This window comes from Homo sapiens, chromosome 3 (genome assembly GCF_000001405.40).
Source record: "Homo sapiens chromosome 3, GRCh38.p14 Primary Assembly".
NCBI classification, from domain to species: Eukaryota; Metazoa; Chordata; class Mammalia; order Primates; family Hominidae; genus Homo; species Homo sapiens.
The window spans coordinates 48,113,163-48,126,642 of record NC_000003.12 but is presented as its reverse complement, the minus strand read 5'-3'; the positions used below and the strand labels follow the sequence as shown (position 1 = coordinate 48,126,642).

At 47.8% G+C, this 13,480-nt stretch overlaps 1 pseudogene, besides 5 other annotated features; it reads left to right on the top strand.

Moving 5' to 3' along the window:
- Positions 3,062-3,245: a silencer, noted in NCBI's record as "fragment chr3:48164888-48165071 (GRCh37/hg19 assembly coordinates)". NCBI's record gives its function as "represses an EF-1alpha promoter that drives an FKBP-Casp9 reporter gene in an ReSE screen in HepG2 liver carcinoma cells {active_cell/tissue: HepG2}" and the evidence as "EXISTENCE:reporter gene assay evidence [ECO:0000049][PMID:32094911]".
- RPL17P16 (ribosomal protein L17 pseudogene 16) lies at positions 5,407-6,023 on the top strand (annotated as a pseudogene).
- Positions 7,536-8,036: an enhancer, noted in NCBI's record as "H3K4me1 hESC enhancer chr3:48160097-48160597 (GRCh37/hg19 assembly coordinates)". NCBI's record gives its function as "activates a minimal SCP1, AML or CMV promoter by ChIP-STARR-seq in primed H9 embryonic stem cells {active_cell/tissue: H9 hESC(primed)}" and the evidence as "EXISTENCE:reporter gene assay evidence [ECO:0000049][PMID:30033119]".
- Positions 9,689-10,620: an enhancer, noted in NCBI's record as "H3K27ac hESC enhancer chr3:48157513-48158444 (GRCh37/hg19 assembly coordinates)". NCBI's record gives its function as "activates a minimal SCP1, AML or CMV promoter by ChIP-STARR-seq in naive H9 embryonic stem cells {active_cell/tissue: H9 hESC(naive)}" and the evidence as "EXISTENCE:reporter gene assay evidence [ECO:0000049][PMID:30033119]".
- Positions 12,249-12,748: an enhancer, noted in NCBI's record as "H3K4me1 hESC enhancer chr3:48155385-48155884 (GRCh37/hg19 assembly coordinates)". NCBI's record gives its function as "activates a minimal SCP1, AML or CMV promoter by ChIP-STARR-seq in naive H9 embryonic stem cells {active_cell/tissue: H9 hESC(naive)}" and the evidence as "EXISTENCE:reporter gene assay evidence [ECO:0000049][PMID:30033119]".
- Positions 12,749-13,250: an enhancer, noted in NCBI's record as "H3K4me1 hESC enhancer chr3:48154883-48155384 (GRCh37/hg19 assembly coordinates)". NCBI's record gives its function as "activates a minimal SCP1, AML or CMV promoter by ChIP-STARR-seq in naive H9 embryonic stem cells {active_cell/tissue: H9 hESC(naive)}" and the evidence as "EXISTENCE:reporter gene assay evidence [ECO:0000049][PMID:30033119]".

The window sequence follows — 13,480 nt, the reverse complement described above, 5'->3', positions numbered from 1 at the left end:
CGGGAGTTTGAGACCAACCTGACCAACATGGAGAAATCCTGTTTTTACTAAAATACAAAAAATCAGCTGGGCGTGGTGGTGTGCACCTGTAATCCCAGCTACTCAGGAGGCTGAGGCAGGACAATTGCTTGAACCTGGGAGGCTGAGGTTGTGGTGAGCCGAATCGCACCATTGCACTCCAGCCTGGGCAACGAGAGCGAAACTCCATCTCAAAAAAAAAAAAAAAAGAAGAAGCAGAGAGGTAAACAGGCCCATATAGGGTAAGCACATTCAGAGAAGTAGGGGCAGAAAGTGGGAGAAGACCCCAACAATGTTGAAGGACATTTGAATGGGGAAATGAGCAAACAAAGTTTACATGTACAATCTCCAGCGCACTTTAGCCGCCCCACAGAGCTCACAGAGTTCTTGTGGGACAGTCCACACCCATCTGAAAAGCTGTATGCCAACACCAAGTGGCATTAGAAAGGTCTCACCATCTGCAGGGCAGAGACAGTATCTGCTGCTATGGTCAGTGGGGGGTCTCCCCAGGCCTCAGCTCTCCTGCGTGGCTTCTGATGCCTGCTGAGCACCATACCAGGCGCATTTAACCTTCTGTGTATACACCCAGCCCCACACTATGGGCCTAATAAAAGCTCTGAAATAATGCAGCTCAGATGCCACCCCCAGGAGGCCTTCCCTGACTCTCTTGGGGGAAAAGGGCTCATGTCCTCTTGCTATGTGCTTGCCAGACAGTGAGCACCCCCTGCCCTGGTCTGAGCCACTTCAGATTTCTCAACAGCAGGCAGCACTGGGTCTTGCCTTGGTTCTTGGTTTTGCTGCCAGAAGCCCACAGTCCCTTGGATACATGGCACTAGGGCAGGACTGCTGGATCCCCACAGAAAGCTGGATCCCTTGGAGTCCCACTCAGCTGAAGAGCCCCTGAGTTCTGAGCAGATAAACCTTCTTGCCCTCATGGTCTGTGGTGATTTAAAATATGCCTGCAAATTCTCTGCTATTTCCCCTTTCCAAGGTGGAGGCTGATTCCCTTTCCCTTGAAAGTGGGTCAGACTTAAATGACTCGCTTCTAGTGCACAGAATGTAGCAGAAGTGATGCTATAGAAGTGACTTCAAAGGCTTGGCTGTGAAGAGGTTACAGCTCCCTCCTACATCCTGACTCTTGGATCACTCACTACATGCTTCAGCCTCCCATGTAGCTGGGACCGCAGGTGCATGCCTCCATGCCCACCACTCACTCTAGAGGAAGTCAATCTCCACATCATAAGGACCCTGAAGCAGCCCTGTGGAGGAGCCCACCTGGTGAAGAAGCGGGATCTCCTGCCAAAGCCAGCATCAACTTGCCAGCCCTGTGAGTAAGCGACCTTGAAAGGGAATCCCCTGGCCTCAGCCAAGCCCTCAGATGATGCAGCCCTATCCAAATGCGATTGAAATTCTTGAGATTTCAAGCCAGAACCGCCCAGCCAAGCCATTCCCAAATTCCTGATCTGCAGAAACTGTGAGAGATAATCAATGTTTATTGTTGTAGTAAGCCGCGAAGATTTGAGGTAATTTGTTGTGAGGCAATGAATAACTAAGATTTTCCTTCTGCCCATTGTCCCTCTCCAAGCTCCCTACACTCCAGCCAAACTGAACCACTGACCAAAGCAACAAATTTTAGGCCCGGTGCGGTGGCTCATGCCTGTAATCCCAGCACTTTGGGAGGCTGAGGTGGGCAGATTACCTGACGTCAGGGGTTCAAGACCAGTTGGCTAACATGGAGAAACCCCATTTCTACTAAAAATACAAAAAAATAGCTGGGCGTGGTGGCGCATGCCTGTAATCCCAGCTACTCAGGAGGCTGAGGCAGGAGAATCGCTTGAACCCGGGAGGCAGAGGTTGCAGTGAGCCGAGATCATGCCATTGCACCCCAGCTTGGGCAACAAGAGTAAAACTCTGTCTCAGAAAAAAAAAAAAAAAAAAGCAACACATTTTTACTGAGTGCCTTGTGTATGCCAGGCCAGGCCAGGCCAGGCCAGATGCTGGGGAGGTAGTAGTGAGCCAGCTATACCAACATGGCCTCACAAGTTTAAAGAGTCACATAATCAGGCTGGGCACGGTGGCTCACGCCTGTAATCCCAGCACTTTGGGAGGCCGAGGCGGGTGGATCACGAGGTCAGGAGATCGAGACCATCCTGGCTAACACGGTGAAACCCCGTCTCTACTAAAAATATAAAAAATTAGCTGGGCGTAGTGGCAGGCGCCTGTAGTCCCAGCTACTCGGGAGGCTGAGGCAGGAGAATGGTGTGAACCCCGGAGGCGGAGCTTGCAGTGAGCCGAGATTGCGCCACTGCATTCCAGCCTGGGTGACAGAGCCAGACTCCGTCTAAAAAAAAAAAAAAAAAAAAAAAAAAAAGAGTCACATAATCCAAACGTTTGCAGAGCCTACTTTGGCTCACACTGTGCCCTCTAACCAGAAAGCCCATCTCAGCTTGTCCATTAACTTTTTTTTTTTTTTTTGAGACAGAGTCTCACTCTGTTGCCCAGGTTGGAGTATAGTGGTGCTATCTCAGCTCACTGCAACCTCTGTCTCCCAGGTTCAAGTGATTCTTATGCCTCAGCCTCCCAAATAGCTGGGATTACAAGCGTGCACCACCACATCTGGCTAATTTTTGTATTTTTAGTAAAGATGGGGTTTCACCATGTTGGCCAGGTTGGTCTCGAACTCCTGACCTCAGGTGATCTACCCACCTTGGCCTCCCAAAGTGCTGGGATTACAGGCGTGAGCCACTGCACACAGCTATTCCTTACATTTAAAAATTGTCCTTTCTCCTTCAATAGTGAACACAGATGTTGCCTCCTCCATGAAATCTTTTCCGACTGCCCTTTGTAAATTATTTTTCTCATCTCTGAACTTTTATAATGCTTTATCTTAATCTTAGTTGGACCACTTAACATCTTCTTCCTTGTATTATGATTATTTATATATGTAGCTCCCTCTTAGTGGCCATCGGGGGTTAGGATGCCTTATTCATATCTGTGTGCCTCACACAACTAGCATACAGAGTGTCGTGTGCATAGTTAGCATTCAAGAAATGTATGCCAGGTGCGGTGGCTCACGCCTGTAATTTCAACAGGATTGCTCAAGCTCAGGAGTTTGAAACCAGCGTGAGCAACATGGGGAAACCTTGTCTCTACAAAAAATTTTTAAAATTAGCTTGGGATGGTGGTGTGTGCCTGTAGTCCCAGCTACTTGGGAAGCTAAGGCAGGAGGACTGCTTGAGTTCGGGAGGTCAAGGCTGCAGTAAAGCTGTGATCATGCCACTGCACTCTAGCCTGGGAGACTGGAGTGAGGAGTGAGGCCCTGTCTCAAAAAAAAAAAAAAAAAAAGAAAGAAAGAAAGAAAAGAAATGTACATTCTGCAAATGAACATATGAATGACATGACCGTAATATTAACAGAGAAGCTAAATGCTGAAAGATAAAAATGAGGCAGGGTGCAGTGGCTCACGCCTGTAATCCCAGCACTTTGGAAGGCCGAGGCAGGCAGATCACTTGAGATCAGGAGTTCCAGACCAGCCTGTCCAACATGGTGAAACCCCATCTCTACTAAAAAAATACAAAAAAATTAGCCAGGCATGGTGGCACGCACCTGTAATCCTAGCTACTCAGGAGGCTGAGGCATGAGAGTTGCTTGAACTGGGAGGTGGAGGTTGCAGTGAGCCGAGATCACTGCACTCCAGCCTGGGTGACAAAGTGAGATTCAGTCTCCAAAAAAAAAAAAAAAAAAAAAATCACACACACACACACAAAAACAAGAGGAAAATGAATGCAATGCTGTGCAGGCTGGAGGGGGAGGAGAGTGCGTTCCCCCGGGAGAACAGGAAAGATATATGCCTCAGCTTCTTGACTCCATGTTTTTGAGGGAGCCTGGAAGGCCCTCCTCTGCCTTGTCCCGCCACCAGCAACAATTCGCCCCCAGGTGAAATATCAGGATGTTCTCAGTGAATGAGGGAGTCTGGGAACTCCTACTGTTCCCTAAGAAGCAGCAAATGCCACCTCTTTCTCTCTTGCTGTCCCAGGCTGCTGAGCACAACCCACCCCATTGCCCTCGCCTCCCCATCTGTGCACCAGCACCCCCTGGACAGGCTCCCCCCAGTAGCAGTGTGTTTTACTCTGCTCTATCAGCTCTTCAGGGCCTGTGTGGAGTCTAGCAGTGGGGATCATGGTGTATATTTATATATTATTTTATTTTATTATTTTATTTTTTGAGACAGTCTTGTTCTGTCACCCAGACTGAGTGCAGTGGTACGATCACAGCTCACTGCAGCCTCAAACTTCTGGTCTCAGGCGATCCTCTTGCTTTAGCCTCCCATGTAGCTGGGACCACAGGTGCATGTCACCATGCCCAGTAAATTTTTGTATTTTTTGTAGAGACAGGGTTTCATCATATTGCCCAGGCTTGTCTCAAACTCCTGCGATCAAGCGGTCCTCCCACCTCGTTCTCTCAAAGTACTGGGATTACAGGTGTGAGCCACTGAGCATTTTGTTTTGTTTTGTTTTGTTTTTTTGAGACGGAGTTTCGCTCTTGTTGCCCAGGCTGGAGTGCAATGGCACAATCTCTGGCTCACCGCAACCTCTGCCTCCTGGGTTCAAGCGATTCTCCCGCCTCAGCCTCCTGAGTAGCTGGGATTACAGGCACCACACCCAGCTAATTTTGTATTTTTAGTAGAGACGAGTTTTCTCCATGTTGGTCAGGGTGGTCTCGAACTCCCGACCTCAGGTGATCCGCCTGCCTCGGCCTCCCAAAGTGCTGGGATTACAGGCGTGAGCCACCGCGCCTGGTGCCACTGAGCATTTTTAAAAGTCAGTGCTGGGGCTGGCCGCGGTGGCTCACACCTGTAATTCCAGTACTTTGGGAGGCCAAGGAAGGCGGATCACCTGAGGTCAGGAGTTCGAGACCAGCCTGGCCAACATGGTGAAACCCCATCTCTGCTAAAAATACAAAAATTAGCTGGGCGTGTTGACACGCGCCTATAATCCCAGCTATTTGGGAGGCTGAGGCAGAAGAATTGCTTGAACTCGGGAGGTGGAGGTTGCAGTGAGCCCAGATCGTGCCATTGCACTGTGGCCTGGGTAACAGAGCGAGACTATGTCTCAACAAAAAATAATAATAATAAAAAAAGTCAGTGCTGGGTGCATAGGATACTGAGTAACTATTCCTTTTCATGGCTTGGTTGTGAATTTCTTGGATCTCCCTCTGTGACCTTGGGCAAGTTGTGTAGCTCCTCTGAGCCTTCAGTTCCTTATCTGTCAAAGGAGAACAAATTCCAACCTCATTGTGAGAACTCAAGGGGGTGATGTGTGTAAAACTTTCAATACGAAGTTCTCATGAGTTCTCCCAGAAGCCATTGCTCTTCCTCTTTCCCTAAGCAGCCTGAGGTAATCTGTGAAAATGGTTCACTATTCACTTGACCCAGAGAACCCCGCAAAATCATGCAAATCAAGAGGTTCCAATCTTCGTGTTCACTTTAAGAACACTCGTGAAACTGCCCAGGCCATCATGGATATGCATGTACGAAAAGCCACGAAGTATCTGAAAGATGTCACTTTACAGAAACAGTGCGTACCATTCCGACATTACAACGGTAGAGTTGGCAGGTGTACCCAGGCCAAGCAGTGGGGCTGGACACAAAATTGGTGTCCCAAAAAGAGTGCTGAATTTTTGCTGCACATGCTTAAAAATGCAGAGAGTAATGCTGAATTTAAAGGTTTCGATGTAGATTCTCTGGTCATTTGAGGATATCCAAGTGAACAAAGCATCTAAGATGCGCTGCCGGACCTACAGAGCTCATGGTCGGATTAACCTATACATGAGCTCTCCCTGCCACATCAAGATGGTCCTTACTGAAAAGGAACAGATTGTTCCTAAACCAGAAGAGGAGGTTGCCCAGAAGAAAAAGATATCCCAGAAGAAACTGAAGAAACAAAAACTTATGGCATGGAAGTAAATTCAGCATTAAAATACATGCAATTAAAAGGGGAAAAAAAACCTTTGAATTTTCCCTAGAACTCAATAAGGCTCAGAGAAAGGGAAGGTGTAGAGGTGAGCTGAGTGCCTGGTGCTCAGACCCCAGGCTGGGTGATTCCACAAGGCAGTCTGTTGTTCTTTATCACAACCCAGGGAAGTGGGAACTGTCACTTCTTTCACAAGCTCACCCCCTAAGGCTCAGAGGCCTTTACCTGTCAGCAGGGCTCTTTCATGTCCCAGCCAGGAGCTGGATCTAGACACTGCAGTGACACTCTTGACAGGGGAGGAAGGAGGTAAGACAGGCAGATGGATAGAACAGAGGAGGGTCTCCAAGATCACAAAGACACTGCAAGTCAAGGGGTAAATGAACATTTGAGAGAGGACCTAGAAGGCCGGTTGCAAGAAGACCAGATTAAAGAAGTCTTGAGACCAGAAGCAGTGGCTCACGCCTATAATTCCAGCATTTTGGGAGGCCGAAGAGGGAGGATCACTTGAGCCCAGAAGTTTAAGACCAGCCAGGGCAACACAGAGAGACTCCATCTCTACAAAAGTAAAAAAATAAAATAAAATAAATTAGCCATTTGTGGTGGTGCACGGCTATGGTCCCAGCTACTTGGGAGGCTGAGGTGGGAGGATTGCTTTAGCTCAGGAGGTCAAGGCTGCAGTGAGCTGTGATTGTGCCACTGCATTCCAGCCTAGGTGACAGAGTGAGACCCTGTCTCAAAAAAAAAAACAAAACTTTGAAACTGGAAGGAAGCCTGGAAAACAATCATAACAACACAACCAATTTACAAATGAGGAGCCTGGGGCACAGATAGGGAAAGTGGCAAAAGCAGGGCTAGAAACCAAGTTTCCTGACTCCTAGTGTGTTCATTCTGGAGTTGCATCCTTTGGGTGGTGGCTGAGGGCCAGAAGGAAGGTCCACGGACAGCCTAGAGCTTCAAACAGAAACAGAAAGTCTTTAGGGAGGTCAGAGTTCCCAGAAAACTGGGAATTGGGACAAACTGAAAACTGAATTATCTTGCTGCCCTGCCTCTGGGAAGGTCATGTCATAACCATTTTTCTTTTTCTTTTTCTTTTGGCAGGGGGATGGAGTCTCACTCTTGTTGCCCAGGCTGGAGTGCAATGGCATGATCTTGGCTCACTGCAACCTCTGCCTCCCGGGTTCAAGGGATTCTCCTGCCTCAGCCTCCTCAGTATCTGGGATTACAAGCGTGTACCACCATGCCCAGCAAATTTTTGTATTTTTAGTAGAGACGGGGTTTCACCATGTTGGCGAGGCTGGTCATGAACTCCTGACCTCAGGTGATTTTCCCGCCTCGGCCACCCAAATTGCTGGGATTACAGGCACAAGCCACTGCACCAGGCCGTCGTAACCATTTTTCTGTCACAAAAGTTGCACTGATTGTCATTTTGCTAATGAAAACAATAGAAAACCTTGACGAACAGCCTTGCTGTTCCTCCCTACAACTGGCTCTCTCCCCGTCTCCTCTGCTCTGTCAGATGAGCCCTTCCAGAGCAAGCCTCCACCCATCTCACACACACACCCTGCTTGGCGGCTCCCTATTGTTGTTTCTTTCCTTTTCTTTCTTTCTGTCTTTTAAAAAAAAAAAAAGAAAGAAAGAAATAAAGACAGGGTCTTGCTATGTTGCCCAGGCTGGTCTCTAATTCCTGGGCTCAAGCAATCCTCCCACCTCAGCCTCCTAACGTGCTGGGATTACAGGCGTGAGCCATTGTATTTGGTCCCTATTGGCTTTTTTTTTTTTCTTCTTTTTTTTTTTTTTTTTGAGACAGAGTTTTACTCTGTTGCCCAGGCTGCAGTGCAGTGGTGCGATCTCGGCTCACTGCAACCTCTGCCTCCCAGGTTCAAGGGATTCTTGTGCCTCACCCGCCCAAGCAGCTGGGACTACAGGCACACAACACCATGCCTGGCTAATTTTTGTATTTTTAGTAGAGATGAGGTTTTGCCAGATTGGCCAGGCCAGTCTCAAACTCCTGGCTTCAAGTGATCCACCCGCCTCGGCCTCCCAAAGTGTTGAGATTACAGGCGTGAGCCACTGCACCTGGTCCCCATTGTTGACTGAGTCAAAACTAGATGCTCCTGTCTGTCTTTCACGCCGTCCCGGCCTGGACGCAGTTCAGCTTGTCAGCTTCCTCCCCTGCTGCTCTGCCCCCCAGAGTCTCTGCTGATTTGCAGCTTCCCAAATGGGCCTTGCATTCTCATGTTGCCCTGGTTTTTATCTAATGAAATGCCCTTTTTCCACTTTCTTTCTTCCTCTGCCTTTAAAAGCTTGTCTTTCAGGCCCAGTTCCTTGGACTCCTCTGCTATAAGATTCTCTTTAACCCTCACTGCCACCTGTCCCAGCAGAAATGATCATGTTCTCTTCTGTGCTCCCTCAGCAGACTTGTTATTTCTCTCTCTTTTTTTTTTGAGACAGAGTCTCGCTCTGTCGCCTAGGCTGGAGTGCAGTGGCGCGATCTCGACTCACTACAACCTCTGCCTGCCAGGTTCAAGTGATTTTCCTGCCTTAGCCTCCCGAGTAGCTGGGATTACACGTGCGTGCCATGCCCAGCTAATTTTTGTATTTTTAGTAGGGATGGGGTTTGCCATGTTGGCCAGGCTGGTCTCAAACTCCTGACCTCAAGTGATCCACCTGCCTTGGCCTCTCAAAGTGCTGAGATTATAGGTGTGAGCCACCGCACCCAGCCGAACTGGTTATTTCTCTATGTACCACACATCAAAGTCCAATTTGAACTATACAGCATTGTGCGTGAATGTCTTCTCAACATTTTATAAAGAAACATTTCAAATACACAGCAAAGTTGAAGGAATTTTAAAGTTAACACCCATATCTCTGGCACTTTGTTTTTACTATCGACCCTTTTTTTTTGTTTTTTTGAGACGGAGTCTCGCTCCATCGCCCAGGCTGGAGTGTAGTGCCATGATCTCAGCTCACTGCAAGCTCCGTCTCCCGAGTTCACGCCATTCTCTTGCCTCAGCCTCCCAAGTAGCTGGGACTACAGGCGCCCGCCACCACGCCCCGCTAATTTTTTTTGTATTTTTTTTAGTAGAGACAGGGTTTCACTGTGTTAGCTAGGATGGTCTCCATCTCCCGACCTCGTGATCCACCCGCCTCAGCCTCCCAAAGTGCTGGGATTACAGGCATGAGCCACTGTGCCCGGCCTATTAACACTTTATCATACTTGCTTATTGTTATTTATGTGTTTATTGTTTGAGACAGAGTCTCACTCTGTTGCCCAGGTTAGAGTGCAGTGGTGTGATTTCGGCTCACTGCAACCTCCGCCTCTAGGGTTCAAGAGATTTTCATGCCTCAGCCTCCTGAGTAGCTGGGATTACCAGCGTGCACCACCCCCGCCAGCTAATCTTTGTATTTTTAGTAGAGATGGGGTTTCACCATGTTGGCCAGGATGGCCTCAACTCCCGGCCGTGGGTCATCTGCCTACCTCGGCTTCACAAAGTGTTGGGATTACAGGCGTGAGCCACTGCACCTGGCCTATTTACTTATTTATTTGAGACAGGGTCTGGCTCTGTCACCCAGGCTGGAGTGCAGTGGCACGATTTTGGCTCACTGCAGCCTCAACCTCCTGGGCTCAAGCAGTTCTCTCATCTCAGCCTCCCAAGTAGCTAGGACTAACAGGGGCATGCCTGTCTAATTTTTTAATTTTTTGTGGAGACGAGATCTCACTATGTTACCCAGGCTGGTTTCAAACTCATAGACTCAAGGGGTCCTCCTGTCTTAGCCTCCTAAAGTGCTGGGATTACATAATGTACATATCAAAAATGCATTGCTTCCCAGAACAGGGGTTAATCAGAAGACAACATGGCCAGTTAGTCTCTACACAATGAAATAATCAAATCTTGGCCGGGCGCAGTGGCTCATGCCTGTAATCCCAGCATTTTTGGAGATCAAGGCCAGTGGATCACCTGAGGTCAGGAGTTTGAGACCAGCCTGGCCAACGTGGTGAAACCCCCGTCTCTACTAAAAAAAGTTAAAAATAAAAAAATTAGCTGGGCACGGTGGCATGCCTGTAATTCCAGCTACTCAGGAGGCTGAGGCAGAAGAATCGCTTGAACCGGGGAGGCGGAGGTTGTAGTGAGCCAAGATCTTGACACTGCACTCTGGCTTGGGCAACAGGGTGAAACTCTGTCTCAAAAATAAATAAACAAATAAAAAATAGGCCAGGCGCAGTGGCTCGTGCCTGTAACCCCAGCACTTTGGGAGGCCGAGGCAGGTGCGTTAGGAATAACGCTCAAAATCCTAAGGAAATTGAACACTTGAACAAAGGATCCTTAGCAAAGCAATTTTGTTTCTGTGCAGAGGGGTGCCTCCTTGGCCAGTTGCCATGAGAGCACACCTGAACAAAGGAGCATGAGAGCCTTTATTCCTGACACAAGTTCTGCCCCTGTACCCTTTCCCCATTGGCCGGGGCCGGGTCATACAATTTAAACTAATCCCGGTTGGCTAAACATTTGATTTTTTTTAGATAGGGTGGGCACGTAAAAGAAAGTGGAGAGGAAGGGTAAGGGGTGTCTGTAATGAGCTACAAAGTTAGTCCTCTTTCCAAATAAGGAAAGGAATGTGAGCTGGTACTGATAACGCCTGGTACTGTGGCGGCGTGCCTGGGCATCTAACAAAGGCAAAAAGGAAAAAAGGAGAAAAAGGAGAAAAAAAAGGGTGGGGGGTACTATGAATTAAAGAATAAATGATTGATCAGGTTATCTGAAGAGAAACCTCATCATATCCCACAGGTGGATCACTTGAGGCCAGGAGTTTGAGACCAGCCAGACCAACATGGTGAAACCTCATCTCTACTAAAAATACAAAACTAGCCAGATGTGGTGGCGCATGCCTGTAATCTCAGCTACTATGGAGGCTGAGGCAGGAGAATCGCTTGAACCTAGGAGGCAGAGGTTGCAATGAGCTGAGATCGCACCATTGCATTCCAGCCTGGGCAACAAGAGCAAAACTCCATCTTGAAAAAAAAAAAAAAAAAAAAAAAAAAAAAAAAAAAAAAAAGGCCACGCGCGGTGGCTCATGCCTGTAATCCCAGCACTTTGGGAGGCCGAGGTGGGTGGATCACCCGAGGTCAGGATTTCGAGACCAGCCTGGCCAACATGGTGAAATCCCATCTCTACTAAAAATACAAAAATTTGCTGGGCATGGTGGTGTGTGCCTGTGTTCCCAGCTACTTGGGAGGCTGAGGCAGGAGACTTGCTTGAACCCGGGAGGTGGAGGTTGCAGTGAGCCGAGATCGCACCACTGCACTCCAACCTGGACGACAAGAGTGATACTCCATCTCAAAAAAGAAAAAAAAGAAAAAGAAAAAGAAATAAACAAATCTTAAGGGTACTGTCAAAGAAAAGAGTCAAACTCAGTAAAATATTTGAAGAGATTTATTCAGAGCCAAATATGAGTGACCATGGGCCATGACAGAGCCCCAGGAGATCCTGAGAACATGTGCCCAAGGTGGCATTTGAAATGCTTGTTTCCCAGTGCCGTAAAGAAATAGCACTTGAACATAAATATAATTTCCTTAGTAAGGCCATTTTTACTTCCTGCAGAAAGGGTACACTCACCAGCAGTTTTGCCACGAGAGTACACTGAACAAAGGAGACAGGGTCATTTATAACCTGACACATCCACCCTACTGCTGTGTCTGGTTTCCACTGGCTGGAACGGGACCTCACATTCTGTATTTGTCCTGATTGGCTAGCAACTTAGAACTTTTTAAAAGAGGCAAAGGTAGAGGAGAACAAAGGAAGGAGAAAGTAACTTGTGGAATGCTAAGAAAGGTAAAAACACCTTGGAAGCTAAAAACATAAAGTACATTGATTTCTTTATCATGGCTAGCAGATATTTAAGAATGTTAGCACAGGTCTTTGAATAAATTTTGCTTCTAAGAGAAGTTACTATTTATTCCTAATTAAATGGGGAGGAAAGTCTTTGAAGAGGAACCTTTAGTTTTTACAGTGGTCAGGCCACAGACTGGTTTTTTTGTTTGTTTGTTTGTTTGTTTGTTTGTTTGGAGATGGAGTCTCGCTCTGTCGCCCAGGCTAGAGTGCAGTGGCTCAATCTCAGCTCACTGCAAGCTCTGCCTCCTGGGTTCATGCCATTCTCCTTCCTCAGCCTCCCGAGTAGCTGGGACTACAGGCGCCCACCACAATGCCCGGCTAATTTTTTGTATTTTTTTAGTAGAGACAGGGTTTCACCGTGTTAACCAGGGTGATCTCGATCTCCTGACCTCGTGATCCGCCCACCTCGGCCTCCCAAAGTGCTGGGATTACAGGCGTGAGCCACCGCGTCCGGCCTACAGACTGGTTTTATACATTTTAGGGAGACAGAAGACATCAATCAATACATGTAAGATGTACATTGGTTTGGTCTGGAAAGGCAGGACATCTTCAAGTGGCGGGTGTTTCCAAGTCTAGGTCATAAATGGACTTCAAAGAGTCTCTGATTTGCCATTGGTTAAAAGAGTTTGAGAGTTTATCTAAAGACCAGAAATCAATAGAAGGGAGTCTCCATGTTAAGCTAAGGAGTTGTGGGGCTGGGTGTGGTGGCTCACGCCTGTAATCCCGGCACTTTGGGAGGCCGAAGTGGGTGGATCACGAGGTCAGGAGTTCAAGACCAGCCTAGCCAACATGGTGAAACCCTGTCTTTACTAAAAATACAAAAAATTAGCTGGGCATGGTGGCACGTGCCTGTAGCCCCAGCTACTCAGGAGGCTGAGGCACGAGAATAGCTTGAATTTGGGAGGAAGGGGTTCCAGTGAGCTGAGATCGCGCCACTGCACTCCAGCCTGGGCAACAGAGCGAGGCTCTGTCTAAAAAAAAAAAAAAACAAAAAACACACACAGAGGGAACTTCATCATCATGTTACATAAAACTGGCCTGTTTTGGAATTTGGCTATTATCTCTCATTCTTCTGATTTCTCAGAAGGTCAGGTAAACAGCTTGGTTTCTTAACATATAATTTTAGCATGAGTAATTCTATTTTAGTTTTTTCCTTTTTTTTTTTTTTGAGACAGAGTCTCACTTTTGTTGCCCAGGATGGAGTGCAGTGGCGCAGTGTCGGCTCACTGCAACCTCCACCTCCCGGGTTCAAGCAATTCTCCTGTCTCAGCTTCCCGAGTAGCTGGGACTACAGGTGTCCGCCACCATGCCCGGCTAACCTCAGGTGATCCGCCAGCCTCAGCCTCCCAAAGTGATGGGATTACAGACGTTAGCCACCTTGCCCGGCCCATTTTAGTTTTTAGTCTGGTCTTTTGGGGCCTAGTGCAGGAGCTTTGTCCGAAACAATGGCTAACGTAGTGTTTTTATTAGCATCTGAAAGACTCGTGAGGGGAATCTGAGACAGTACATTTGATAAGGCTTCCCGAATTGTCTTTCCCTTTTGCAGCAATATAGTTATTTTAGGGGGCTGGGGTTCCCATTAAAGGGTTCTTGGCAATATTA